This window comes from Homo sapiens, chromosome 15, assembly GCF_000001405.40.
Source record: "Homo sapiens chromosome 15, GRCh38.p14 Primary Assembly".
NCBI lineage: Eukaryota > Metazoa > Chordata > Mammalia > Primates > Hominidae > Homo > Homo sapiens.
This window is the reverse complement of record NC_000015.10, coordinates 29242448-29270124: the sequence shown is the minus strand read 5'-3', so window position 1 is coordinate 29270124 and position 27677 is coordinate 29242448. Positions and strand designations below refer to the sequence as shown.

General features: G+C 39.5%; 2 protein-coding genes across 8 annotated transcripts in view, besides 2 other annotated features; both read left to right on the top strand.

The window, feature by feature from the left end:
• ENTREP2 (endosomal transmembrane epsin interactor 2) overlaps positions 1-27677 on the top strand; it is a 557698-nt gene that overhangs the window by 405285 nt on the left and 124736 nt on the right. For all 7 annotated transcript variants that reach the window (NM_001387217.1, NM_001387215.1, XM_047432323.1 and 4 more), the window contains exon 3: positions 17647-17757. In NM_001387217.1, coding sequence (NP_001374146.1) covers positions 17659-17757 — 99 coding nt within the window. In that variant the 5' untranslated portion in view covers positions 17647-17658. The remainder of the gene's footprint in view (positions 1-17646; positions 17758-27677) is intronic.
• Positions 7-506: an enhancer, noted in NCBI's record as "H3K27ac hESC enhancer chr15:29561823-29562322 (GRCh37/hg19 assembly coordinates)". NCBI's record gives its function as "activates a minimal SCP1, AML or CMV promoter by ChIP-STARR-seq in primed H9 embryonic stem cells {active_cell/tissue: H9 hESC(primed)}" and the evidence as "EXISTENCE:reporter gene assay evidence [ECO:0000049][PMID:30033119]".
• NSMCE3 (NSE3 component of SMC5/6 complex) lies at positions 303-5136 on the top strand. Its single transcript, NM_138704.4, has one exon. The coding sequence runs from the start codon at positions 420-422 to the stop codon at positions 1332-1334; it is 915 nt and encodes a 304-aa protein (NP_619649.1). The 5' UTR covers positions 303-419; the 3' UTR covers positions 1335-5136.
• Positions 507-1008: an enhancer, noted in NCBI's record as "H3K27ac hESC enhancer chr15:29561321-29561822 (GRCh37/hg19 assembly coordinates)". NCBI's record gives its function as "activates a minimal SCP1, AML or CMV promoter by ChIP-STARR-seq in primed H9 embryonic stem cells {active_cell/tissue: H9 hESC(primed)}" and the evidence as "EXISTENCE:reporter gene assay evidence [ECO:0000049][PMID:30033119]".

The following is a 27677-nucleotide window of genomic DNA, read 5'->3' as shown; positions in this document are numbered from 1 at the left end:
CACACGTTCATCCTCTGAATTCTTTCCGTTTACAAATGCTCCCGATTTAGAAACTCATAATACTGTCTGTAAAACTTGCCTGAGCCTGTGTGGTCTGAATTTAGCGACACACTTGTTTAGGAGTTTCGGTTCTCGCTCTCTGTTTGCATGGTTTGGTAACAACACTTCACTATACTAAAAATCATCGCCCGGACCTGCAGGGCTGCACGGAAAACGCTGTTCCTTTTGGTACCCGCCGCAGCCGCGCAGGCGCACCGCCCAGCCGCCCTGACGCAAGGCGCAGGCTTCATGACGCAGCACGCAGTCTCAGCCGACACTGCGCGCGCCTCCAGGCACCGGCGTTAGCGGGTCGCCGACCCGCAATCCCCGCCGCGGCTGCTTGCCTACCGGAGTGTGCGCCGGCACCTGCCGCCGGAGACATGTTGCAAAAACCGAGGAACCGGGGCCGCTCTGGCGGCCAGGCCGAGAGGGACAGAGACTGGAGCCATAGCGGAAACCCCGGGGCTTCGCGGGCCGGGGAAGACGCCCGGGTTCTCAGAGACGGCTTTGCCGAGGAGGCCCCGAGCACGTCCCGCGGGCCGGGCGGCTCGCAGGGGTCGCAGGGCCCCTCGCCTCAGGGCGCCCGCCGGGCCCAGGCCGCCCCCGCCGTGGGGCCCAGGAGCCAGAAGCAGCTGGAGCTGAAAGTGTCCGAGCTGGTGCAGTTCTTGCTGATTAAAGACCAGAAGAAGATTCCGATCAAGCGGGCCGACATACTGAAGCACGTCATCGGGGACTACAAGGACATCTTCCCCGACCTCTTCAAACGGGCCGCCGAGCGCCTCCAGTACGTCTTCGGGTATAAGCTGGTGGAACTTGAACCCAAGAGCAACACTTACATCCTCATCAACACCCTGGAGCCTGTGGAGGAGGATGCCGAGATGAGGGGTGACCAAGGCACGCCCACTACGGGCCTCCTGATGATCGTCTTAGGGCTCATCTTTATGAAGGGCAACACCATCAAGGAAACTGAAGCCTGGGACTTTCTGCGGCGCTTAGGGGTCTACCCCACCAAGAAGCATTTAATTTTCGGAGATCCAAAGAAACTCATTACTGAGGACTTTGTGCGACAGCGTTACCTGGAATACCGGCGGATACCCCACACCGACCCCGTCGACTACGAATTCCAGTGGGGCCCGCGAACCAACCTGGAAACCAGCAAGATGAAAGTTCTTAAGTTTGTGGCCAAGGTCCATAATCAAGACCCCAAGGACTGGCCAGCGCAGTACTGTGAGGCTTTGGCAGATGAGGAGAACAGGGCCAGACCTCAGCCTAGTGGCCCAGCTCCATCCTCTTGAAAGGTGGATTCAGAGGGACCCCCGGGACAAGGGTCTGAGACCCAAAGGCACAGTTTAGAGGATTGGGGGAAGGGAGAACGAACCCAGGGAGCATATTGCTGTAAACGCTTCAATGTGTGTAGCTTTAGGATGTGTTTGCAAAGTTTTGTTTTTTTAATGTTGTGTTATTTTGCTCCAGATTTTCATCTATAAACAAAGGAGCATTTGTTTTGATTTTACTCTTTTTGGTATAAAAAATTTTGCTAGCTTAGTAAAACGAATTGGAAAACTTGACTATGATCTGGAACAGATAATGCAAGAAGGAACACATAAGTAAGTTGCTTTGGTGCCAAGAAAATAAAAAAGCTATTATCAGGTCTCCTAACTACCCCAGTTTGTAAGGAAAAATAAAAGTTTTTATAAAATTAAAAAAAATAATTGCCTATATCCTTATTATGTTAACCTATTTTATTTTTCTATATTTCGTACATATATAAGTATTATTCATGGTTCCAAGCAATGAGTGTAATGTATTTTCTCCCAATAGTAATTGTTTATATTCATAATTATTCAGCTCTGCTGCTAAACACGTAGTTCCACTTCGTTTTTTTCTTCTTGCTACTGTAGTTATTACAATAAATACTGTATTTTTGAAGCACTTAAGCATTGTGTGTTTTTTAAATCGTGGGTCATGAGAGAATTTCATGACTGGAAATCAACATCTTAAAGTTTTTGCTACATATTAAGGTCAATGCTGTTTTGTAGAAGTTGTTTCACTTTTGTGTGAAACAAAATCAGGATCATGAGGTGAAATATATTTCTCACTGTGGATCTCAAAAAGGCTTATAAAACAATAGCGTAACCATTAACCATGCCTGTTTGGGAATCGGACTGTCTGGGTTGAGATCCTGGCCCCACCATAACTAGTATATGAATTTACATAGGTTCCTTAGTTTGTATGCAGATGTTTCTTGACCTGTAAAATGGTTTTAGTCCGTGATGTGGAGAATTTTATTTGTTATTCTTTAATGTTTTTATTTTTTATTCTCCTTGGTCTGGAGCTGCCACTTTTTAAATATAACTTTTCTTTATCTTTTTTTCCAAATCATTCCTAGGAGAGCAATTCCTGGTTCAAAAGATAGTCCTCTAGTCTCACTCTATTGTATGGGGAAATATAACGTGTATGGTGAGTGTGCCCCACATAGAACATAAGAGCAGGACATAAGATCTACCTCCTAGGGAGTTAGGTATAGGGAAAAGGGTATGGGTCTTGGGGCTGTCTGGCAAACTGAATTTGAATTACGGCTCATGCTAACTTGTCAGCATGGTGGTTGTGGGGGTAGGTTTTAAGCTCTCTGAATCTCAATTTATCTGTAAAATGAGAAAAATAATAGCTATATAATAGTTTTATGCACTAAATGAACTAGAAGAGTTCATAGTCCCATTGTGTTCCTCCATTACGTGTAGCAGATGCTGTTTTTAATGCAGAGATTCAACACGTTTTATTCAGTGGGCAAATAAGTTAATTGTTTTAGGGGGAGGTGCTGCAAATTAACCTTGAAATAAGGCAAATATTTTTAACTCGGGGAAAAAAGTGAACTTCATCAACACTGGACGGAATGTCATTTAAAAGAGTCTATAGTGAGTATGGAGGAATGTGATAGGTTACTGGGTTTTATTTCATTCTGTTGAATTGGGATTTGCATTTGTTTCATCAGTGGAATATGTTTGGCCCTTACAGGCATTTCTTCTTGATCTGCATTTTATTTCAGTGTATAAACTCCTTCCTGCCTCCTGGTCCCCTTACCTCCCTGACTCAGCTTTCTCCTCCTCATGCCCTCTGATACTCGCATTCTCACCTGTATAATAAAAATTATTACCCAGCAGTCACCACCAGTTATATCTGAGGCAAAATTCCCCCCGCTTTTCTCAGAGGTGTTAGCAATTTACCATCGATAATCTTGTTTCAAATTTTAAAATATGAAACATCAGAGGCCACATCAAGGCCTTATATCTTTTCCTTCTCACCCTCCCCAGAGGTAACAAAAGTCTGTGGCTATCGGGCTGTTGTATGACTTTATAATTTTACTATACATGTATATATACATAACCAATATAGAGTTTTATTTTGTGGGCTTTCATGATTTATATAAGCGGTGTTACGTGTGTCCTTATGCAACTTGCTGTACTCACTCACCATTATGTATTTGAGATTCAGCCATGTGGATATATGTAGACCTGATTCACTCATTTTAATTGTTCTTTTATGGGGGAAAAATAACTATCCATTCCTTAATGTCTGGACATTTAAGGTCTTTCCAGTTCTTTGAGATTTGCAGGCATTGTACAGTACTTCTTTAGGCACATGTGTGAGTTTCTCCAGCCAGAAACAAATGGAGCAATCAAGGACTATTGCCAAGCTGCTCTTGAGCTTGTGTCAAGTTACACTCCCATCAACATTTTATACAGTTTTGTTTTGTTTTTGTTTACCAATCCCTCCACCTTCACCCCCTGTGAACACTTGGCCTTTTCAGTATCTTTTCAGCCATTCTGGTACAGTGTGAAATGATAATTTATTACGGTATTAACTTATACCTGTTGCTTACTAGTAATGTTAAGTATCTGCCTATCTTTTGCTCTCACTCCTTTTTGAGTGTCAGATTTCATGTCTTAGACCTATTTCTATTGATTTGTAAGACATCTTTATATGTTCTACATGTTAATCCATGGTCTGCTCTATCTATCTAGTGCAAATACCTTCTCCCACATTTTCACTTCTTTTGGTCATACAGATCATTTGACCTAAATGTGTTACGATCATTAGTGTTTATAAGAGCTACATTTGTGTATAGTGCTTTAAAAAATTCCCCTAATCCTAAAATTGTAAATATGTTTTCTGCCTTTTTTCCCTAAGTGTTCAAAGTTTTGATCTTCACATTTTATGCTTTTAATCTGCTTTTGTGTATGATGTGAGGTATGGAAATAGTTTTTGTATTTTTCCTATATGGATAGCCTAGCACCAGTTTTTCATCATTTATACTTTCCACACTGATTTATGACACTCAGTATTTTGTAGCAATGTCCCATGTATAGATAAATTTATGGCTAGGACTGAATTGGTTTATTTGCTATCCATTTGCAAATACCATACTGTAATTCTTTTTTTCTTTTTGAGACGGAGTCTTGCTCTTGTCGCCCAGGCTGGAGTGCATTGGCACAATCTTGGCTCAGTGCAATCTCTGCCTCCTGGATTCAAGCGATTCTCCTGCCTCAGCCTCCTGAGTAGCTGGGATTACAGGTGCCCGCCACCACGTCCGGCTAATTTTTGTACTTTTAGTAGAGACGGGGTTTTGCCATGTTGGCCAGGGTGGTCTCAAACTCCTGACTTTAGGTAATCTGCCCGCCTCGGCCTCCTAAAGTGCTAGGATTACAGGCATGAGCCACCTCGCCCAGCCTATAATTCTTTAGCATCATATGCCTGTCTTCTTTTTCAATTCTTAAAGCCTTTTATTTTAGTCTTTTTTGCATTGGCTGAAAATGCAATATATTATTGAAAAGAAGCAGTTACAGCAGGCTCTAAGGATGTTTCTGATTCCTTATTCTTGATTTTAAAGGAAATAATTTTAAGTTTTGCCATAGAGTGTGATGTTTGCTGTTAAGAGTTTTTTTCCCCTATAAATACCTTTTATTGGGCTATTTAGTTACCCCTTCAGTCCTAGCTTGCTTAGAGATGTTCAGAAAAAAAACTATGAATGACTTTGGATGTATATATGCTCTTTATTTACCTGCTAATATGATTAAAATGTCTTATTTACTCTGTAAATTTGTTTTTTGGGGCATATAATTTGGTGTAATAACATACAGTTTTCTGATATCTAAACATTCTTGCATTTTGGAGACAAACAGTTGTTGATAAAATTTTTAAATACATATAGCTCAAAATGTATAATTTTGCATCTTTTGACATAAGGGGGGGTTAGTCTTTAATTTTCCTATATTATCATTATTTTTGAGGTTATGCTAATTTACTTAGAGATAACCTCAAATTTACAGAAAAGTTGCAAGCCCAGTGCAAAATAATTTGTTCCCTGAACTATTTAGTTATGTTTCTTTAGTCTCCTTCCTATTGCCAGTAGTTCCTAAGTCTTTCCTTGACTATTATGACCTTCACTTGAAGAATACGGGCCTGTTTTCTGTAGAACATCCTTCAGCTGGGGTTTGTCTGCTGTTTCTTCATGATTGGATTTGAATTATGCATCTTTGGGAAGAATATCACAGAAGCAATGCTGTGTTATTTTTGGATCCTATCAGGTGGCACAAAATTTCAATTTGTCCTGTTATTTTGAAACCTTGATCACTTTGGTTAAGGTGGATTTCTGTCATGTGCCTCCACTGCAGAGTTTTCTCCTTTAAGGTAAACAAATAACTTGTGTGGAGACACTTTGAGACTTTGTATAGACCCATGGGTCTCTTATTATCATTAACTTATTATCTAATCTTTTATTATCATTACATATTTCAATACTCAAATTGTCCCTGATTTGGCCAGTGGGAGCCCCTTAAAGCTGGCTTTTGCATCTTTAACATGCCCCAACATCATTTATTGAGCATTTCCTTGCTTGTTGGCACAAAAAGAGAGGGAGTTCTTTTTTTTTTTGAGACGGAGTCTCGCTCTGTCGCCCAGGCTGTAGTGGATTGGTGCAATCTCAGCTCACTGCAATCTCCGCCTCCTGGGTTCAAGCGATTCTCCTGCCTCAGCCTCCCGAGTAGCTGGGACTACAGGCACCCGCCACCATGCCCAGCTAATTTTTTGTGTTTTTAGTAGAGACGGGGATTTCACCGTGTTAGCCAGGATGGTCTCAATCTCCTGACCTCGTGATCCACTTCGGCCTCCCAAAGTGCTGGGATTGTAGGCGTGAGCCACCGCGCCCACCCAGGAGTTCAGACTTTAACTCTCCCTGCCCTAGGCCTGGAATTAATCCTTTTCCTAAAGAGCTCCGGTTTCTTTTGGTGGAGAATGGAATTCAGAAACAAGGTTGCTAGGTTTGCTCATGCCTATGGGAAATATCATTGCTTCCAGCCCTCTAGGTGATGAAGTTATAGGATATTTATCTATCAGTCATCTACACAGCACTGAAGACTATGAGATTACACTGATACTGCCATTTGCAATACAGCACCGCTGTGTGTATTCTGGTTTGAGAAACTTAGCACCTATTATCTTTACCATATTTACTTATTTGATTAATTCCTCTTATAAATAACCAATCCACTATCCTCTCTGCCACACCATCCACATGGGTGCGCTTAGCTTCCCACGTGGGCTCCAATGTCCCACATAACTGGCTTTTCTGTGCAGTCACCCTCCACCCATTGCTAGAGCTCTAACCCCACTCAGGTGACCTTGGCCTCTCCCAGGACATGGAACTTGTTCTGTCCCACTTAACAGCTATTGCACTGAATTGTTCAGGAAATAGAAAACCTTTTGGTCTTATAAATGCATTGGGAAGCTTGCCTTTTGCCCTGTTATCAGAAGATTAGATGTTTTCGAAAGTTTGGAACAAATCTACATGTGAAAGGCTGTGGGCCTGGTGTTTTTTGTGGGTAGATTTTTACTGATATTTTTCTCAAGATTATGTTCAGGTTTTCTCTTCTTTTGAAATTGGTTTTGGTCACTTGTATTTTCTAGAAGATGTTTTCATATATTTTCTGATATAATTAGTAGAAAGCATTTCTTAGTATTGTCCTTTGATTTAAAAATAATTCTTTTACATCTTTTTTAGAGAAAAAACTCTCAAACTTCGTTTTTCCTCTGCTCTCACACCACAACAATCATCAACACAGAAGAAGACTTCTGTGATCAAATGTGTAGGGGGTTTCCCCTACGGAGGAAGCAGCAGATACCAGCTGGGTGTCCTCCAATTCAGTTCCAACACTATCTACCTGGAGATAGTGTCAGATCCCACAGGATGAGGGCTTAGTCCCCAAGACTGCCCACTCTCAGGACACTAGTCACAAGTCCAGGCCTCTGGAACTTTTGACCAATGGTCTTCAAGTTGGGGTTCTGATGATGTCCTCTTTGGGTTCAAATAATTTGCAAGAGCAGTCCACACAACTCAGGGAAACACTTACGTTTACTGGTTTATTATAAAGGGTATTGCAAAAGACACAGATGAAGAGATGCATAGGGCAAGGTATGGGGAAGGTGTGTGGAGCTTCCATGCCTTCCCTGGGCACGCCACCCTACCGGAACCACCGCATGTTGAGCAGTCTGGAAGCTCTCTGAACCCTGTCCTTTTGGGTTTTTATGGAAGCTTCATTACATAGGCATGATTGACAACTGTGCAGAAATGTGATTGGACAAAAACGCACACGAGCTAAAGCCAGCAAGGCCTGTCTGCTCAGAGTTTTCTTGGCCTCTCTGTGTAGCATTCCTTCCTCTAGGGTTTGGGGCAGGACTCTTTTCTGAAATGAGGGTCTTTTGACCCACAATCAGAGGCCTGACTGGGGCAGATGAAAGAAAGACAGGAGAAGGTCAGAGAGAGAGATTCTGTTGCCTGAGGCCTAAAGAACCCCAACAGTATAACGAAGATTATGGGAGTTAGGAAACAGGAACCATGGAAGGAAACCAATATGTATATATCATAACACCATGCATCTTTACTTATAGATTCTCTTTCTTTTTGTACTCCCAGAATTATTTTTTGCCTTCGCCCTTTTTTTTTTTTTTTCTGGAGCCATTTGTGCTGGGAGTTTATTTATTTTATCAGTATTTTCAAGAAACTTTTGTTGTATTGATCTTTTTTATTGTTTCCCTTTTTGATTTAATTACTTTATGTTTCCTTTCTTTTTACTTTCCTTGGGTTTACTTAGTGGTTCTTTTTTTTTTTATTTCTGGAGTAGATACTTAGTCAATTGATTTTCATTTCTAATTCATTTAAGGCAATATATTTATCTTTACAATATTGCTCATATTTGATAAATTCTCAGATGTATTTTTGTTATATTCAATGCTAAATATTTCCTAATATCTGTTTTGATTTGTCTTTGATTCTAATTGCAAGTGAGTGATCTTTTTAAATTTTCCAATATTTGGATTTGAACTATGCTTTTTGTTGTTGGTCTTTGATTTTTTAAAAAATTGCTTTGAGTGAGATAAAATGTTGCGTATAAAATCAGTTTTTAAAATATTTTAACATGGTCTTTGGCCTAATATGTGGTTAGCTTTTGGTATGTTCCAAGTGTCCTTTAAAAAAGAAGTGAATTCAGTATGTTTTCTTTTTGTCTTTTCCTTTTTAGAGATAGAAGTTTGCTTGTTGCCCAGGCTAGAGTGCAGTAGAAGCAGGCTCAAGTGAGCCTCCTGCTACAGCCTCCTAATTAGCTCAGACTACAGTCAAGCGCCACCATGCCTGGCTAATTTTTAAAAAACTTTTTAGAGATAGGATCTTGCTTGTTGCCCAGGCTAGAATGCAGTGGCACAATCATAGCTCACGGCAGCCTCCAACTCTTGGGCTCAAGCGATCCTCCTTCCTCAGCCTCCTGATCAGCTGGGATTACAGGCGAGCACCACCATGCCTAGCTAATTTTTAAAACTATTTTTTTAGAGATGGGATCTTGCCATGTATCTCAGGCTGGTCTTGAGCTCCTTACCACAAGCAGTCCTCCCCCGCTAGCCTCCCAAGCAGCTGTGTACGTGTTTTTGATATGTTCACAGTATGTTTATTACCTAAAGCTTGTTAATTGTGTTGTTCAAATATTATATAGTCTATTTTTATTGCGTAATCTATTTCTAAGCAATGGGAAAGATCTCTCATTATGATTTTGTTAAGTCTTGTTTTTTATTTTATATATTTTCAGGCTGTATTTGTAAAGGCGAAACAGGTTTAGCATCATTATCTCCTCCTGGAGAATTGTTGCTTTTAGACTCTCTTTATTCCTAATAATGCTTTTTAGTATTATATTAACATATTTCCAGTTTCCTTCCTGCCTTATTTTAAAAGTATTCTCTTAAAATGTCTTTTCATCTGTTTTTAAATTTTTTATTTTAGAAAATTTCAAACGTGAAAGTAGAAAGATGAGGTACAAGATTCAATATGTGGATAATCTTATTTCGTCTGTATCCCCACCCAGTTCAACTACTTTGTATTCCTCCCTAGTCCAGATTACTTAGAAACAAATGCCATATATGATTTTACCTGTAAATATTTTGGCACGTGTCTCTGAAAGATAAGAATTCTCAAATTGGGTCAAATGGTTTTTCTGTGTTGAGATGATGATGTGCTTTTTTTTCTTCTTCAATGTATTGATGTTGTGTATTACATTGATCGACTTTCTTGCATTCCTGAAGTAAATCCCACTTGGTCACGGAGTAGAATCCAATTTCCTTTTGTTTCCTTCCAGTTTTCTTTCTGTTACTGATTTTTAACTTCACTTTATTTTGGTCAGAGTAGGTACTTTGTATGATTTAATCTTCTGAAATGTATTGAGGATTTTCTGTGTATATTCATAAGTGATGTTAGTCTATGGTTTACTTTTCTTGTAGTGTCTTTGTCTGACTTCGGTACCAGGGTAATCCTGCCTCATGAAATGAGTTAGGAAGTGCTCCCTCTCCTTCAGTTTTTGAGAGAGTTTGCATAAGACTGGTGTTAATTCCTTAGATGTTTGAGAGTATTCACCAGAGACCCCAAATAGGCCCAGACGTTTCTTTGTTGGGAGGATTTTTGATTCCTGATTCAGTCTCCTTCCTTGTTATACAGATATTGAGAATTTCTATTTTGTCTTGAATCACTTTTGTTAATTCATGTGTTTCTGCCAGAGATACACAAAGCTGGACACCAGTTAAAACGGAAAGGGCAGATTTTAATGAGTAATAAACTGTTACACTATGGAAAAGAGCCCGGTGTTAACTGAACTCAACTTCAATTTGTACAGAGGTTTCTGGGCTTTTGTTTTGTTTTGATTTTTTAATAATTGCATTTTTTTCTTCATATATATATATATGTAAATGGGATTTCACCATGTTGCTCAGGCTGGTATCTAACTCCTGGGCTCAAGTGATCTGCCTGCCTTGGCCTCCTGAAGTGCTGGGATTGTAGGTGTGAGCCACTGTGCCAGGCTTCACTAGGTGTTTTAAAGGAAGAATGAAGAATCAGGAGGGAGGGTGAGCAGGGTGTAGGGGGTGGTTAGTAAAGTCAAGGAAGTGAAAAATTACCAAAAGTGGAAAGTAGGGATTGGCCTGTGTGAAACCCATCTGGGATTGTTAGCTAGTGCTTATCAAAGTTAGGCTCCTACCCTCCCACAGATGCTGGGACACAGGGTGTCTTCAAGTGTCGGCTGGAACTAACAGTAAACTCTTTTGGCAGCCTTGAATTTTCTCAGGCAGGTACTTTAGGGGGAGCTAGAGCCATCCTAGGGATGTGGCCTTGAGCTGTTAGAATCTATGTTAATATTTTGTTCAAGTGCTAGAGATTGGTCAAGAAGGAAATATTTGAGAATTGGACATTTTGAATATTGTAATGTGGTGACTCTGAAATCAGATTATCTTCCCTCCTTAATGATGCCTGATAACTGCTTTTTGAGAGCTGTAGCCATCCATTTCTTTAGTGACTTTTCCAAACTAATTTTGAGCAGATTTTATTCCTCATTGTGTGTGATCACTAAAGTCTCTATTCCATTATATCCATGGTCAGCCAAAGACCTGATGGAGATTTCCTTGAATGCCAACCTCTTTCTTTATCAGATTATCCCTCTGGATGCTACAAGTGTTCAGCCAGCTTCCAGAGTTATGAAATAGTTGATTCAAAGTTCTTGCCCACTCAGAAAAGTTGTTTCATTGGCAGGACCAATTTCTGGAACAATGGAATATTATTCGAATAGCCTTGAAAAGGAAGGAAATTCTGACACATGCTACAATATGGATGAACCTTGAAGACATTATGCTATAAGTGAAATCAGCCAGTCACCAAAGGAAGAGTACTGTATGATTTCCCGTATGTAACATATCTAGAGTAATCAAATTTCAAGGGACAGAAAGTAGAATGGTGGTGATTGCTAGGGGCTAGGAGGAGGGAGGATAAGGAATGATTGTTTAATGGGTATGGAGTTTCAGTTTGAGAAGACAAAACATTCTCTGGAAATGGATAGTGATGATCATTCCACAACAGTGTGAACATACTTAATGTCATTAAACTGCACACATAAAAATGGGAATAAAGGTAAACTTCATGTTATGAATATTTTACCACAGTTTAAAAAACAAATTAGAAAATGCAAGTACGTTTTTATTATGGATATTTTACCACAATTAAAAAAAAACAATAAACAGGCAAAAAGATCTTATTGTCTCTTACCTCCTTGACTTTCGTAGCATCTGTGTTGTTCAGCACTTACTAAGTCTCAGGGTAGTCTCTTGTTGGCTTCTGTGTAGGTTTGCTTTCGTGATGTTTTCAGCAACTATTTTTTGACCTCAATTTCAAAGCTGTGCAGGCCAGTTTATTTACATATCATTTGAATGATATGGGACTGCCGTAACTTCTAATATGAAAAATTTAAGTTGGCCCTTTCTTTTTTCTTTCTTTCTTTTTTTTTTTTTTTTTTTTTGAGACTGAGCCTTGCTCTGTCACCCAGGCTAGAGTGCAGTGGTGCAATCTCGGCTCCCTGCAACCTCCATCTCCCGAGTTCAAGCGATTCTTCTGCCTCAGCCTCCTGAGTAGCTGGGATTACAGGCGCGTGCCAGCACGCCCGGCTAATTTTTTTGTATTTTTAGTAGAGACAGGGGTTTCACCGTGTTAGCCAGGATGGTCTCGATCTCCTGACCTCATGATTCACCCGCCTCAGCCTCCCAAAGTGCTGGGATTACAGGTGTGAGCCACCGCGCCCAGCAAAGTTGGCCCTTTCTATGTGACCTAACTTTCCCAAGGGATGCTGTCAGACTCTGCAGTTATTAAAACCATTGCTGAGATACTGCTAACATTATGAACTTGAAATAGTTCCTAAATGAACAAAATATCCTCTTATGAATTCTGTCTCCCATGTACATTTTTAAGGAAAATAAATTTAACTACAGCTGAGGGGTATACATTATAGTTACGGTAGAGAATGGTAATACCAGTTATTTTCCTAAATTTAATTTAGCTTACATTTTTAAGGTATTAACAGAAAAAGTAAGATCTTATCCTTCTCATACATTGTTAGTGGGAATGAAAAATAGTACCAGTCGTATGATGAGGAATGTGGTAATGTCTAGCACATTAAACAAACATTTATCCGTTGATCCAGCAATGCCACTTCTAAGAATATATCCCAAAGCCATGCTGGGAAACCTATAAAAAGATATATGAACAAGGCAGTTCGTTGCAACACTACTTATAATAAATAGCAAAGGACTAAAAATAACCCAAATGTTCATCAGTAGGGATCTGGCTTAATAAATTGTGATTTGGCCTGGCGCGGTGGCTCACGCCTGTAATCCCAGCACTTTGGGAGGCCGAGGCGGGTGGACCACCTGAGGTCAGGTGTTCCAGACCAGCCTGACCAACATGGAGAAACCCCGTCTCTACTAAAAATACAAAATTACCCCGGTGTGGTGGCGCATGCCTGTAATCCCAGCTACTTGAGAGGCTGAGGCAGGAGAATCGCTTGAACCTGGGAGGTGGAGACTGCGGTGAGTCGAGATCGCTGCATTGCACTCCAGCCTGCACAACAAGAGTGAAACTCCATCTCAAGATAAATAAATAAATAAATAAATAAATAAATAAATAAATAAATAATAAAAAAATAAACTGTGATTCATCTGTGCCATGAAGTATTAGGCAGTTGTAGAAGGGAATAGGGTTATTTGTGTGTTCTTATTTCGAGTGATCTTCACCATATTAAGTGCAAAAAAAGTAAGTAAAGAAAATGTGTGTATTATGCTACTATTATATACTTTTACTAAAAAATGATGGGAGGATAAAATATAAAATTAAAAAATAAATGCTTGCCTATTAATAAATGGGAGGAAATAGAGTGGAGGAACAGAATAAATGCCAGACTTATGTGAAACTTCATTTATGGACCTGACTTTGGAATCATTTTATGTAATTAGAAATGAAACTCAGTTTTAGAAACAATTCTTAAACAAGAAAAAATGAAATAAAAGGAATGAACCTGGGTTCCTGATCAGTAGCGTAACCACATATAAAGGAACCATGTGAGTTTAAAACACCATAATTTGACTATTTCTGGTAGAATGTAATGTAAGAATAAAAAGAAATATAAATGTTAAACTATTTTCAGTCATTTTTTTCGGCAGTTGTATTGGTGTTATTTTGAGACTGTTGTGTGGATATTGTGAAATTAAATCCAACAGATTAATTATGTTGAGAAATAGTTTTTGGCATGGTTGAAAGGAGATACAGATGTAAAATTAATATGGTTACATAAAAACCTTATAGTTTTGTTTGCGGTTTTTTTGTTATGTATGACTATATTTATTTTAAATTTTAGATTCAGGAGGTACATGTGCAGGTTTGTTACCTGGGTGTGTTGCATGGTGCTGAAGTTTAGGCTTCTCATAATCCCATCACCCAGTTAGTGAGCACAGTACCCCAATAGGTGGTTTTTCAGCTCTTCCCCCCAACCTCCGGTTGGAGTCCTCAGTGCCTGTTGTCCCCATCTTTGTGTCTGTGTGTACCCAAAGTTTAGCTCCTACCCTATAAGTGAGAATATATAGTATTTGGTTTTGTTTGTGTTAATTCATATAATATGGACTCCAGCTACATCCATGTTACTACAAAGAACATGATTGTGTTCCTTTTTTTTTTTTTTTTTTGAGACGGACTCTCGCTCTGTCGCTCAGGCTGGAGTGCAGTAGCGTGATCTTGGCTCACTGCAAGCTCCGCCTCCCGGGTTCATGCTATTCTCCTGCCTCAGCATCCCGAGTAGCTGGTACTACAGGCGCCCACCACCATGCCTGGCTAACTTTTTGTATTTTTAGTAGAGACAGGGTTTCACCGTGTTAGCCAGGATGGTCTCAATCTCCTGACCTTTTGATCCGCCCGCCTCGACCCCCCAAAGTGCTGGGATTACAGGCATGAGCCACCGCGCCTGGCCATGATTGTGTTCTTTTTTATGGTTGCGTAGTATTCCATGGTGTATATGTACCATGGAATTTTCCTTATCCAAGCCACTATTGATGGGCACCTGGGTTGGTTCTATGACTTTGCTATTGTGAATAATGCTGTGGTGAACATATGGGTGAAGGTGGGGTTTTTTATTTTTTGGCAAAACAATGTATTTTCCTTTGGGTATATACCTAGTAATGGGATTGCTGGGTCGAATGGTCGTTCTGCTTTTAGTTATTTGAGAAATCTCCACATTGCTTTCCACAGTGGCTGAACTAATTTACATTTCCACCAACAGTGTATAAGTGTTCCCTTTTCTCCACATCCTTGCTAACATGTTATTTTTTACTTTTTAGTAATAGCCTGGTGTGAGATGGTATCTCATTGTGAAAACTTAGTAGTGTTGAATTTAAATCAGAAACATAATTGTGAACTCATGATATGTCTGACAACTGAAAACAATGAAGCTCCAAGTAGCAAACAGCACCTGTAGCACAAAAATTATGGTATCTGAATACCATTCTCATTGAATGGAACCTGGACTTACTGGAGAAATGGCTGATTATAGGTCTCTTGGGTAGAAAACTGTAAGATGATCCTGTACTATCTTCTCATACAGAAAGCCAGATAGCTGTCAAGGTCTACTGGAGTTGTGTTGAAAGGACCCAGGTGTCAACTTGAGTGGACTCTGTCTAATGATGCAGATGATTAAAACTATCAAATGTGTTTAAGTTCTTGGCTCATAATGACTCAAACTCACTCCCCTCTCCACCAAACAGACAAAATACTATTTCATGATATTGTTAATTTTGGAGGATGCTAGGGAACCAGGTTTTTGTTTGTTGGTTTGTTTGTTTGTTTGTTTTGACGGAGTCTCGCTTTGTTACCCAGGCTGGAGATCTCGGCTCACTGCAACCTCCACCTCCTGGGTTCAAGCAATTCTCCTGCCTCAGGCTCCTGAGTAGCTGGGATTACAGGCGCGCAGCACCATGCCCGGCTAATTTTTATATTTTTAGTAGAGATGGGCTTTCACCATGTTGGTCAGGCTGGTCTCGAACTCCTGATCTCATGATCCACCCACCTTGGCCTCCCAAAGTGCTGGGATTACAGGCATGAGCCACTGCGCCTGGCCGGGAATCAGCTTTTTAAAAAAATAGACATGTGTCAAAGACTATGTCTAACTCATTATTTAATGAGGAAATCAGTAAGATGTTACAAGCAGTTCAAAGGTTAATTCAAACACTGCACACATATAAGCAATCAGGAATGCTGAAATAAATTTACAAATAAATGTAAAAGTGGCCAATATCAGTGGGGCAATAATCAGTTACGTTCTACTGGACAAAATTCCTTTACATTTGTATCGTCAAGAATCATTTGCACTACTATCAGTTTTATACAACTATCAGTTGATAAACTATCAGTTTTATCAGTTTTATGCAGAGTTTTGAAATAGCATAAAGACATTGAAAGGCAGAAATAACCCTGAAGTGTGCATTAGACAGAATATCCAGTGAATTTTTTTTTTTTTTTTTTTTTTTTTTTTTGCTCTTTAACAAGTTTTAATGCCAGTCTCCCCGCCTCTTGATCAGATTAATCTTAAAGGTTATTCTCCATCACAAAAAGGGTCTTTCTTCATTAGATTTGGCCTAATTATTTACATAGGTGCAGAAAGAGTGCTAATTAAGCATACAGACTTCCTTGAGTTCATTTTGCAAAATTTAAAATTATTTTAAAGCCTGGAAAATGAACAGAAAGAGTCAAGTATATATCCTGCTTTTCATATATGAACTATACCTCAGGGTAACAAAACAGTTGATGAGGAAAAGTCTGTGTCTCTATATGTATTCTTATTCATAAAGAAAAAATGACAGAGTGAGACTAGCACTATTTTGGAAACCCTAATAAATTAATGAGTCTGTCATCATTAAAAATGGCCGCTAACATCACAAAAAGAGAGACAATATTGGCCGGGCGTGGTGGCTCATGCCTGTAATCCCAGCACTTTGGGAGGCCAAGGAGGGCAGATCATGAGGTCAAGAGATCGAGACCGTCCTGGCCAACATGGTGAAACCCCGTCTCTACTAAAAATACAAAAATTAGCTGGGTGTGGTTGTGCGCACCTGTAGTCCCAGCTACTCAGGAGGCTGAGGCAAGATAATCGCTTGAACCCGGGAGGCAGAGGTTGCAATGAGCCGAGATTGTGCCACTGCACTCCAGCGACAGAGTGAGACTCCATCACAAAAAAAAAAAAAAGAGAGAGAGACAATATTTGCCTTTTATTGATCTGAATTTGGCCAAACCTCTGTATTTAATCACCAAATTACAAGAAATACAGAGGCTAGAGAAATGTTTAATGATAGAGGACTACAATCAGAAAGTTTAGACTGTAAGAAACTCTTTAGGACAAATGAACTGGTTTCTTCAGTAAATTTCACAGAGGAAAAAGTGGATGGGAAACCCATAGACTGTCTAAGATTCCTAACAGCCAGTTGTACCACATGGACCTGCTTTGTATCCTGTGTGGCCTGATTCAAAGTGTGAAAAAATTTAGACAATTAGGGAAATGTGAACTCAGTATCTGATGATATTAATGAATTTTTATTTATTATAGATATGATGACTATTTTGGCTATGTTTTCAGAAAGCTTCTCAATTCCTTTAGAAAGATTTAAGGGTAAAATTATATGATGCCTGGTATTGGTTGCACAATAATTCAGATGGTAGGGGCTGTAAATGAAACACAGTTGGCCGTAAGTGGATTAATTATTGATGTTGGGTGATGGACACATGTGCCTTCATTATGCTGTTTTCTTTGGTTTTGCATGTGTATGAAATTTTCTGTAATAAAAATTAAACCTAAAGGCCTTCTAATAAATATACTTCTTTCACTTGATTTCCTTTAATAATGTGTAACTTGTCACTGTTAAGAGTATATAATGCACAGTCTTTCAAGTTTAACTCCTTAAATATTTTATCATCATAGGTTTTAAACAAAATCATGGTAGCTTGCTATGGCTTCCTACAGATCTTACTTTTTCTATTTCAGATCATATGAATTTGGAAGTTTGAGAAATAACCTACCACTTTCCTTTAAAACACATACATGTTATTCATGTAATTATGTGATCAACTGTTGTATAATAAATGAAAGCTGTTGTAAAGCCATGTCATTTTTCCTTTGAGCCTCTCCAAGTGAATAATCAATTTTATGTTTGGTTTGTTTCCAGATAACCTTTTTCATGCTGCTTTCTGCAGTGTGTGTAATGCTGAATTTGGCTGGTTCAATTCTCTCTTGTCAGAATGCTCAGCTAGTCAACTCCCTAGAAGGCTGCCAGTTGGTAAGTAATGAAATGCAAACCCTTTCATAAAGGTCATAGGATTTGATTTTGTACAAGAGCAATTTTAAAAATAATTTTACTGTATTCTTAGGTTCTCATGTACACTTTCAATTCATTCTGATGTTTTCTAGTTTAGGGTATTTAGGTTAAGCTGATTTATTTCTATAAGTTAGATAACAATTCACTTACTGATTTATAAGTAGAACAATTAAAACTTTTTCTTCTTGTAAATCAGCTACTAGTAGTATATTTTTAAGGATCACAACGTAGTGCTATTTTGGAATAAATATCCTTAGTAACTATTATATTTTAGCATTTGTTGCATTGATTCTTATTTGTATTGAATTTTTAAAAATCAGTTTGCAAGTCAGTTTTAAGTGCTGATGTACATATTATGCTGGATGACGAATATATCAAAACAATATAGTTAGCATTTCTCAATTAAAAAGAATTTTCTTTCAGATCCAGGAAAATTGTAGACAGTGTGCTATGTACATTGTAGAACAGAGGTATTCAATCTTTTGGCTTCCTTGGGCCACGTTAGAAGAAGCATTGTCTTGGGCCACACATAAAATACACTAAAACTAGCGATAGCTGATGAGCTAAAAAAAAAAAAAAAAAAAGTCACAAAAAAAACTCATAATGTTTTAAGAAAGTTTACGAATTTGTGTTGGGCCACATTCAGAAAATTGTAGACAGTGTGCTGTGTACATTGTAGAACAGAGGTATTCAGTCTTTTGGCTTCCTCGGGCCACGTTAGAAGAATTGTCTTGGGCCACATATAAAATACACTAATATTAGCGACAGCTGATGAGCTAAAAAAAAATAAGTCACAAAAAATATCTCATAATGTTTTAAGGAAGTTTACGAATTTGTGTTGGGCCTCATTCGAAGCCGTCCTGGGCTGCATGCAGCGTGGTGGGTTGGACGAGCTTGTTGTAGAAGATCAACAACTTGTTTGTTGGATAGAACGATCATTTCAAAATAACTTAGCTCATGGTACTGTAATAGGTACATCTGGCTGTGACAGAAATTGCAGTGTGTTTGGTTGCATTCTGGTATGAATATACTTAAACTCCTGATAGGACTGTGGTTCCCTGGGTATGGGGACATGGGCCTTCGTTTCTTTGTCTTGGAAGCAATAGCAGGCTACCTTTCAGAGCCATGTCCCTCCACAGTTGCCCTCTGCCTGCTCTACCTGTGGCTATGATTCTGAGAAGTGATTGCTGAATTACCAGAAGCTTTTCTGCTGTGGGACCATGCCTGCTTGGCTTGGGACCATGTTGTTTGGATTCACAGGGGCAGCCACTGGAAAGCCTGCTGCTCTCTGCATTCTTATCTACGAAGGCCAGCAGGACCAGTGTCGCTGGCACAGTTTCGATGCTGAAGCTGCCCACTGAGTTACAAAAATGAATTGTTGGGGCTTCATCTTGTTATTGTCTGTTGAATGTGGCCTAGAGAACATTGATCAGATTTCATCCCTATATGATGTGCACAGAAGTATTCTCGGTATGGTGTAGACCCCCTTAAGATTGACAATTGACACAACCTGGATCCCCATCTCCATCTGAAAGGATAACTTGCCATCTTGTATTCATAACTTGGCCAGCCTTTTTATTCCTAAATACTAGGTGCTATGAGTATAGCAAAATCTGGTGACCTACAAGGAACTGGCCATTTTTTTCTTAGACTCTCATTTTCCAGTGCAGGGCTCTGTGTGGGGGAGACAGAGTGATTGGGTGAAGGGAAACTCAGTGTCTGGAGGTTCACACCAAAAAGAAAGCCCACACACATTGCCCAAGCTTGAAGGGCTGACCCCTCCTGGTCTTAATCTCAGACCGTTTTCCCACATCGCAGACTGCATGGAAGTATAGGAAAGGGAGATTTGGTCTCCTCTATTTCTTACCGCTTTCTATACCTCCACGGATACATAAAAAGAACATCATGTACCACAGATATGTACTCTCACATACATCTGTTTGGTTGATGGTACCACAGAATCATCAATATTTCCCTCACTTTAGAACTTGATCCTAGGTGTCCCTCTGCCTTGGCTCATACAAGGCCAGAAATCTCAGAGCTACAAACCAGTGTGTTCATTTGCTTGGGGGCAATGTGTGCAGCACAAACAGTACTGGATTTGGAGTCAGCAATCCAGGATCAAAGCCATGCTTCACCACCTCCTGGTTATGTGACTTAGGACAAGTCACTCACTGTTTCTCGGCCTTGCTTCCCTTTCCTATTGATATGGTTTGGATTTGTGTCCCTGCCCAAATCTCATGTTCAGTTGCAATCCCGAGCGTTGGAGGTGGAGACTGCTGGGAGGTGATTGGATCATGGGGGCAGATTCTCATGAGTGGTTAGCACCATTCCCTCGGTGCTGCCCTCATGATAGTGAGGGAGTGAGTTCTCACGAGAGCTGGTTGTTTAAAGTGTGTGGCACCTCCCTTCCTTGCTTTCTCTCTGGCTCCTGCTCTGGCCACGTGACTTTCTGGCTCCCCCTTCACTTTCCACCATGATTGTAAGTTTCCTGAAGCCTCCCCAGAAGTCAAGCAGATGCTGGCATCATGCTTCCTGTACAGCCTGCATGAGCCAGTTAAACCTCTTTATAAATTACCCAGTCTCAGATATTTCATTCTAGCAATGCAAGAATGGACTAATACACCTGTTCAGTGTGGACATGACCTACCCTGAGTTCTTCATAGAATATTGCAAAACCTATACAACACATAAAAGGTATGCTCCTTTCATATATAAAATTTCATATATAAAAATTATACATTTACTATAGAAATTCAAAAAACAAAATTTCATATATAAAAATTATACATTTACTATAGAAATTCAAAAAACAAAACACTTCACAGTCCTACCACCCAGTTGATTATGTCCTTCCAGTCTTTTCTGTGCATAATGTGTGTGTATATGGATGTATGGGTATGCATGCATGTATGTATACATATATATTTAATGTATTTAAATGTGCTATCCACTTCATGCTGCCTTGTGATTTCTTTTTTAACTGATCACATTGTTCCATGTTTTATTTATTTATTTTTTGAGATGAAGTCTTGCTCAGTCACCCAGGCTGGTGTGCAGTGGCACAATCTCAGCTCACTGCAACCTCTACCTCCTGGGTTCAAGCGATTCTTCTGCCTCAGCCTCCCAAGTAGCTGGGACTATAGGCATGGGCCACCACGCCCAGCTAACTTTTATACTGTAGTAGAGACAAGGTTTCACTATGTTGGCCAGACTGGTCTCGAACTCCTGACCTCAGGTGATCCGCCTGCCTTGGTGGGATTACAGGCATGAGCCACCACGCCCGGCCTGTTCCATGTTTTAAAATATTCTACAACTTTATTGGTAGTGACTACTCTATATGTATGAATGTAACATTGTTTATTTAACCATATCTCTGCTTTTTGCAATTAGAGAGATGGCCATTATTCTTATACAAATTGAATCCTTTTTACAGCTCCTAAAATTAGATATACATGATAAAAATGAATGTATCTTTAGAGTATTTGGTGCATATTGACATAGTGCCTTTTAGGGAAGTTTACCCATTTATATTCCCAATATATGATAATGCTCTTCCCCTACACCTTTGCCAGCACTGAAAGTTGTTATTCTTTTTAATCCATGCTAATTTGAAAGATATAAGATGATTTCATTGTTTAATTTGAATTTCTTTGAGTACTAGTAAGATTAAACTTTTTAGTCATTTATAATTGCATATACATAAGCTTATATGTATTTATACATATATGTGTAATTATGTCATATATTCATGTTTATGCACCATTTATATTTTATTTTCTTCTCTGTTTTGTCTGTATGTGTTCTGTACTCAGTTATAGATTTAAATATTTATCAATGATTTATAAGAGCTCTTTATATATTATAGTTTTGAATCCTTTGACTTATATTGGGCAAATATATTCCCTGGATTGTTATTTGCCTTTTAATTTTTGTCAGAAAAGTAGAAAACTTTTTAATTTTTATATATTCAAATTTACCAATGTTTCTCTTTGTAATCTTACCTTAGAATCATGCTTAAAAAGATTGTCTCCTTTCCAAGATTATGCTACCCCAATAACTTCCTGGTTATGGTGTGCTTTTTTTTAATATAGTTAACTCTTTAGTATTTTACAGTCTACTCGATGAATTGAACTTTTTCTCTCTAAACAGTTTAGTAGTTTACCTGAAACCATTTTCTGAATACTCTAGTATTTCCCTGCTGATTTGAAATGTCACCCAGATCATTAAAAATCATTTGCAGCAAGTTACAATTACTAAGAAAGCCACGGGCCATTTATTGTGAGGATAGTGGGGCCTATTGAATCATCAAGGAGGCTAGAGATCAGGCTTGAAAACTGGCTGGTTCTAAGGAAGCTTCTTCTGTTGGCTCAGAAATCTGACTGAGACTGGGGCCTACAGTGGGAACCCTGAACTTGCCAGGGTGCAGTTCTGCAGGAGTGGACAATTCCTATGGTTCTTTACCTCTGGGTCTGTTTGCATTAGAGTCAAAGAGCTGGGAGGGAGTGTTTAATTGGATACAGGAGGATGATAATTTGCTTACCTGTCCTACCAGACTGAATTCAGTCACACATGGGCTACTTTTTTTTTACAGACATACCGGAAACAAAGTTGGCTGCTATTAAGCAGGGTTGGGGGAGGGAAGCTGGACATGTATGCTGGGTGGTGAAGAAACAACCAATATCAACTCTGCCAGTGTTATCATTGCATGCACACATGCGCACACAGATAGTAGTGCCCATTTGTCTATTTCTGGACTTTTTATTCATATTCATTCAACATTCATATGTCTGTTTATTCATATTCCAGAGCAATACCACTTAAATTACCTTGACTTTATAATCTATTTTTATACATGGTAGGACAAGTTCTACCGCTTACCCCATCCCGGACTTTTAATCTATTTCTTTAAAATGTTCTTGCCTGGTTTTAAATGTTTAGTCTTCTAGATGCACTTTGATTTTCTTTTGCCAAGACTTGGAAAGAATGGATTTGAGATTTGAATTGGCATCATATTAAATTTGTAGATTACTTTGAGGGAAAATTAAAACATCTAAACAATACCATGTCTTTCCATTCCAGAACATACAGTGTATGCTTTGATTTATCCAAATTCTTTTCAACTTCTTCACTCCAGTTTTTGTTTTTCTTTAGGATACCTACTACATTTCCATATGTTTGTGTGGTGATTGTGTTTTTTTCTCTGCATAATTTAAGACTAGCTAGTGTTCTCTGCATAAAAAGGATATCTAAACTAAAGTCAATCTTTTATTCTGGGCTCCTAGCACCTCCCCTTCCTGCTACAGGGTTTTGCGTGTGTGTGTGTGTGTGTGTGTGTGTGTGTGTGTGTGTGTGCCTTTCCAGTCATCATCTGCACATATTTTTGTTTATGGATTTTTTTTTACACACGTGGGCTACTCAACATGGATTTTGTAGTCAACCATGTAGCCTGGGACATTTTCACATCAGCACTTGGAGGTCTTCTCTGCTGTTAAACAGGGAGTAGCGGATAATTCCACTGGATGGATGTGTGATAATTCATATAACCACCCCTTAATGAAGGATAAGTTAAAAGATGTTTCTAGTCTTTTGCTAAAATGAACATGCAAATAATTTTTTTTTTTTGAGATGGAGTTTTGCTCTTGTTGCCCAGGCTGGAGGAGTGCAATGGCGCAATCTCAGCTCACTGCAACCTCCACCTCCTGGGTTCAAGCGATTCTCCTGCCTCAGCCTCCTGAGTAGCTGGGATTACAGGCGCCCGCCACCATGCCCAGATACATTTTTTTGGTATTTTTTTGTAGAGATGGAGTTTCACTATGTTGGCCAGGCTGGTCTCAAACTCCTGACCTCAGGCGATCCACCTGCCTCAGCCTCCCAGAGTGCTGGTATTACAGGCATGAGCCACTGCGCCCAGCCTTTTTTTTTTTTTTTTTTTTGGAAACAGGGTTTCACTCTGTTGCTTAGGCTGGAGTGCAGTGGTGCCATCACGGCTCACTGCAGCCTCAACCTCCCTGGGCTCAGGTGATCCTCCCGTCACAGCCTCCCAATTAGCTGGGACTACAGGCATGTGCCACCACAACCAGCTAACTTTTTTTGTATTTTTTGTAGAGAGTTTCACCGTGTTGGCCAGGCTGGTCTCAAACTCCTGAACTCAAACTATCTACCTGCCTTGGCCTCCCAAAGTGCTGGGTTTACAGGCGTAAGCCACTGTGCCCGATTGAATAGTATTCTTTGTACATATTCATTACTCAACAGATACTGAGTGGCTATTGCTGCTGCTTGGGGAACTGGCCTAGGTGCTGGGGGTGTAGCAGTGAACAAGGAAGGAATGCAAACAGATCTAGAGAAAAAAATCACTAAGACCGTCCCTGCAGTCAGAGCATGAGTGCACTTTAAATTTAGAATCTTATTCCTAAATTGCTCTCCAAACACAAGGCACCCCTTCACACCTTTGCCAGCAGTCTGAGCCTGTGCCTGGTTACCCAGATCCAAACTTGTGTGTTGTCAGAATTGTTTTTGTCTTCACCAATCTGACAAAATTGTACAATTTTATTATGTAATTTTCATTTCTTTAATTAAAAGTGAAGTTGAGCATCTTTATATTTGTTTATAAGTTGCTTATATTTCTTTATCTGTTAACTGCCACTTCACGTTTGTTACCTATTTTACTGTTATATTGTTGTTTTTATAATTTACATATTATATATATTATATACATATATATACTTCCTTATGTTAAGGAAACTGGCTATTGTTATATTGGTTGCAAACATATATTTTTAATAGTTTGTTATGCATCTTTTGACTTTTTGAATGGCATTCTTTGTGTGGGTATTTTCTGTACTCACATTGGTTTTATTCATTTACGTATTTTAACCCTTTTGATTGCTGGGTTATGTGTTTTTCCTAGAAAAGCCTTTCCCACTCCAAGATTATAAATAATTTTCTACTATCCCCTCAGTATTTTCGGGTTTTATTTTTTAAATATTTATGTGTTTTATCGATCTAGGATTTATTTTGTTATAAATGTTACTACACTTTTATAGTTTTCTAAAATATACATATGAACTTTCCATGTTTCAAATTTAGTCCTAGGTATTGTAAATATTTTCTTGCTCTGGTGGATGCCTGTTTTAGTTATTATTTTATACTGAAGAGGCTACTCGCCGCATGTAAGACTTTTTGCAGTTTTTTATTACTTGCATTGAACTGTACAAGCAGTTGAATGTACACCTGAATCTTTGATCCCATAGTTTGTCAGAGGAAATGATTACATTTTCTTCTGCTTTCCAGTATCTGTACATCTTGTTTTGCTTTTCTGTGTAGTTGCTGTGGCTAAAACTGTTCAAATAACATTGGATAATGATGTTTTGTTAAAATAACATTAGATGATGGTATTTCATCATCCACCTCTTGCTCCTGAATTTAATGAGAAGCTCTTAGTGACCCACCACCAAGCATGCTGCTGAGAGATGGTTTCTATTAGCAAATCTCCCCATTTGCTGAGCTTCATAGGACACAGGACAGGAGACACAGCAGGGACAGCATCTTCACATCACTGGGAGGTCCCGCAGCTCCATTTCCCTCTCACCCACATGCGGTGTTCACTGCCTGCGTGGGGGAGACTCTCACTGAGAAGCCACAGTTCACTTTTCCATCAGTTGTTTTTATAACACTTTTGTCTTCACGGAGGCCCAAGGCCTGCAGGCCACCACGCTGCTTCCCTGATCCAGGCGTCCTTCCCAGCACATGAGATGACCACAGCCTTCCATATCCATCTCAACGCTGCAGTGTCCGAGAAAAGGAAGCAGTGACCTGAGAGGACAGAACTTTTGGGTCATTTTTCCTGGCGCACATGCGTCAGCCCAGACCCGATGTGACCCTTCACTCACAGTGAGGATTTACAGGGAAAAAGGTTGACTAACACTGGAATTTTTTAACACCCTTGTTTTATTCCTGGCTTTCACAGGATTGCTCCTAATGGGTTACCATGTAGAGTAATGTCTGCCATCAGCTTCTGAGAGATGCCTTTATTAATGGGAGGTATTCGCTTCCATCCTGGCTTTCTAAGATTTTTTTTAATCAAGATGCATGTAAATTTTATCACCATCCTTTTAACATCTCTGAAGATGATCATATGGCTTTCCTCCTTTAGTTTATTAATGTAGTGATTTGCATTAATGGATTTCCTAATGCAGAATCACTTTTGCATTGCAGAAATAGGCAATGGTCCTGGTGCTGAGAAGGTATACATTAGGCTGCATTCACTTTGTTAATATATTATTTAAGAGTTTTGCATCAACATTCAGAAATGAGATAACCTACAGTTTACCTTGAGGTGCCCTCCTTGTCCAGTTTCATCTTAGAATTATGCATACTTTAAAATGAAAGTGGAAGAATTTGATTTGACTTATGCTCTGAAACAGTTTATATAACCTGGGAATTATCTAGGTTTATTTTAATTTGGGGGAGGTAATTTGACTACTTTTAACGTATTTTCCCATGTTCATTATGTTATTCGTGTTTTCTTTCTTTTTGGGGATCATTTTTGTTAATGTCTTTCGAACATTGTATATTTCATCTGTTTTTTCCAATTTATTGTTATAAAGCTACAGATAATATTCTTTTACAGTTCAAAAATAAACATTTTAGCAAATCTTTAGAGATTCAAAGTAGATTAATAGTTCCCTAGAGCCGGGGGTCTCGGGAGGAAATGGGGAATTTGAGGGAAGGGTTGACTATGTATGTTTTTATTTTATTAACCCCTTCTACTTTCTTAATTCACATATTGTTAATTTTCCCCCTTTTATAGTTGAGTAACAGTAATAATACTGTATAGATTGGCATTGTTGATACACAGTGCTCTTGTGGACTTAGTTCCACTTGGTTTGTAATTTTCATTTTTGCTTTTCTCTTTAACCTAATCATCGCTCAGATTGATGTCCTTAACTTTTTAGGTAGTTAGACTTTTTGGTTTTTTGCTTTCCTTTTACTGTTAATTTCTAACGTCATTGCATGAGAACATGTGGCCCCTAATTTCTACTTTTTACAATCCACTAAAATTTTCTGTAACTTTGTATAGGAATAGTTTTTGGATGTATTTTGTGGGTTTTTGTTAAATACAACAAAACATGGATTCCCAGCTTGTTGTGATCAAAATGTATTCACATATTTGTGTGTCTGTGTGTGTGTGTTCATGGCGAGAGAGCTTCTTACAACATAAACTCAGCCACGTGCTTCCCACTGGACTCGGAGCGCTGTCCAGCATCCTCGCCGTGGCGTGTGAGTGCCTGCTTTCATCTGGCTCCTCCAGCTTCGCTAGCCTGCAGTGGTACTCCTGGGCACCACGTCCCTGCCTTGCCAGCTGTGCTAGAATCTCAGGGTCTTTCTACTTCAGGCTGCCCCTGCACGCTGCACCACAGCTGTTCTTCCTCCCAGCTGGTCTCTAGGTGGCTCCTTCTGGACCTCTAGATTCCAGAGTCGGTGGGACATCGATGCAAGGGCCTTCCCTCAGCCCTCGTCCAAGGGGCTCCCCAGCTCTGCGGTTCTCTGAGCATTCTGTCTCTTTTTCTCCAAGCCCTGACATTTCCCCATCATTCGCTACATGGCAAAGCAGCACAAGGGAGAAGGCCATGTCTGTGCTGCGCCTTGTCCCACATCCAGGGCCTGGCACCATTCCTGGAGGGGAGCATGTGAGTGAACCACTGAGTGCCTCCCAACTGTTCCTGTCTGAAGAGCCCCTTAGGAAATTAAAAAGGCATTTTGGGATTTCAAGCAAACATGCTGTTTCACTTAAATTAATTAGAAAAGAGCATTATTGATTTTCAAATGCCCCTTAAAATGCCTCATTATGTTTTAATTTGAGGCTCCATGCACATTAA

Bases quoted from the DNA above. Each gene is read 5' to 3' on its own strand.
- NSMCE3 (NM_138704.4), top strand. From the start codon at position 420: ATGTTGCAAAAACCGAGGAACCGGGGCCGCTCTGGCGGCCAGGCCGAG.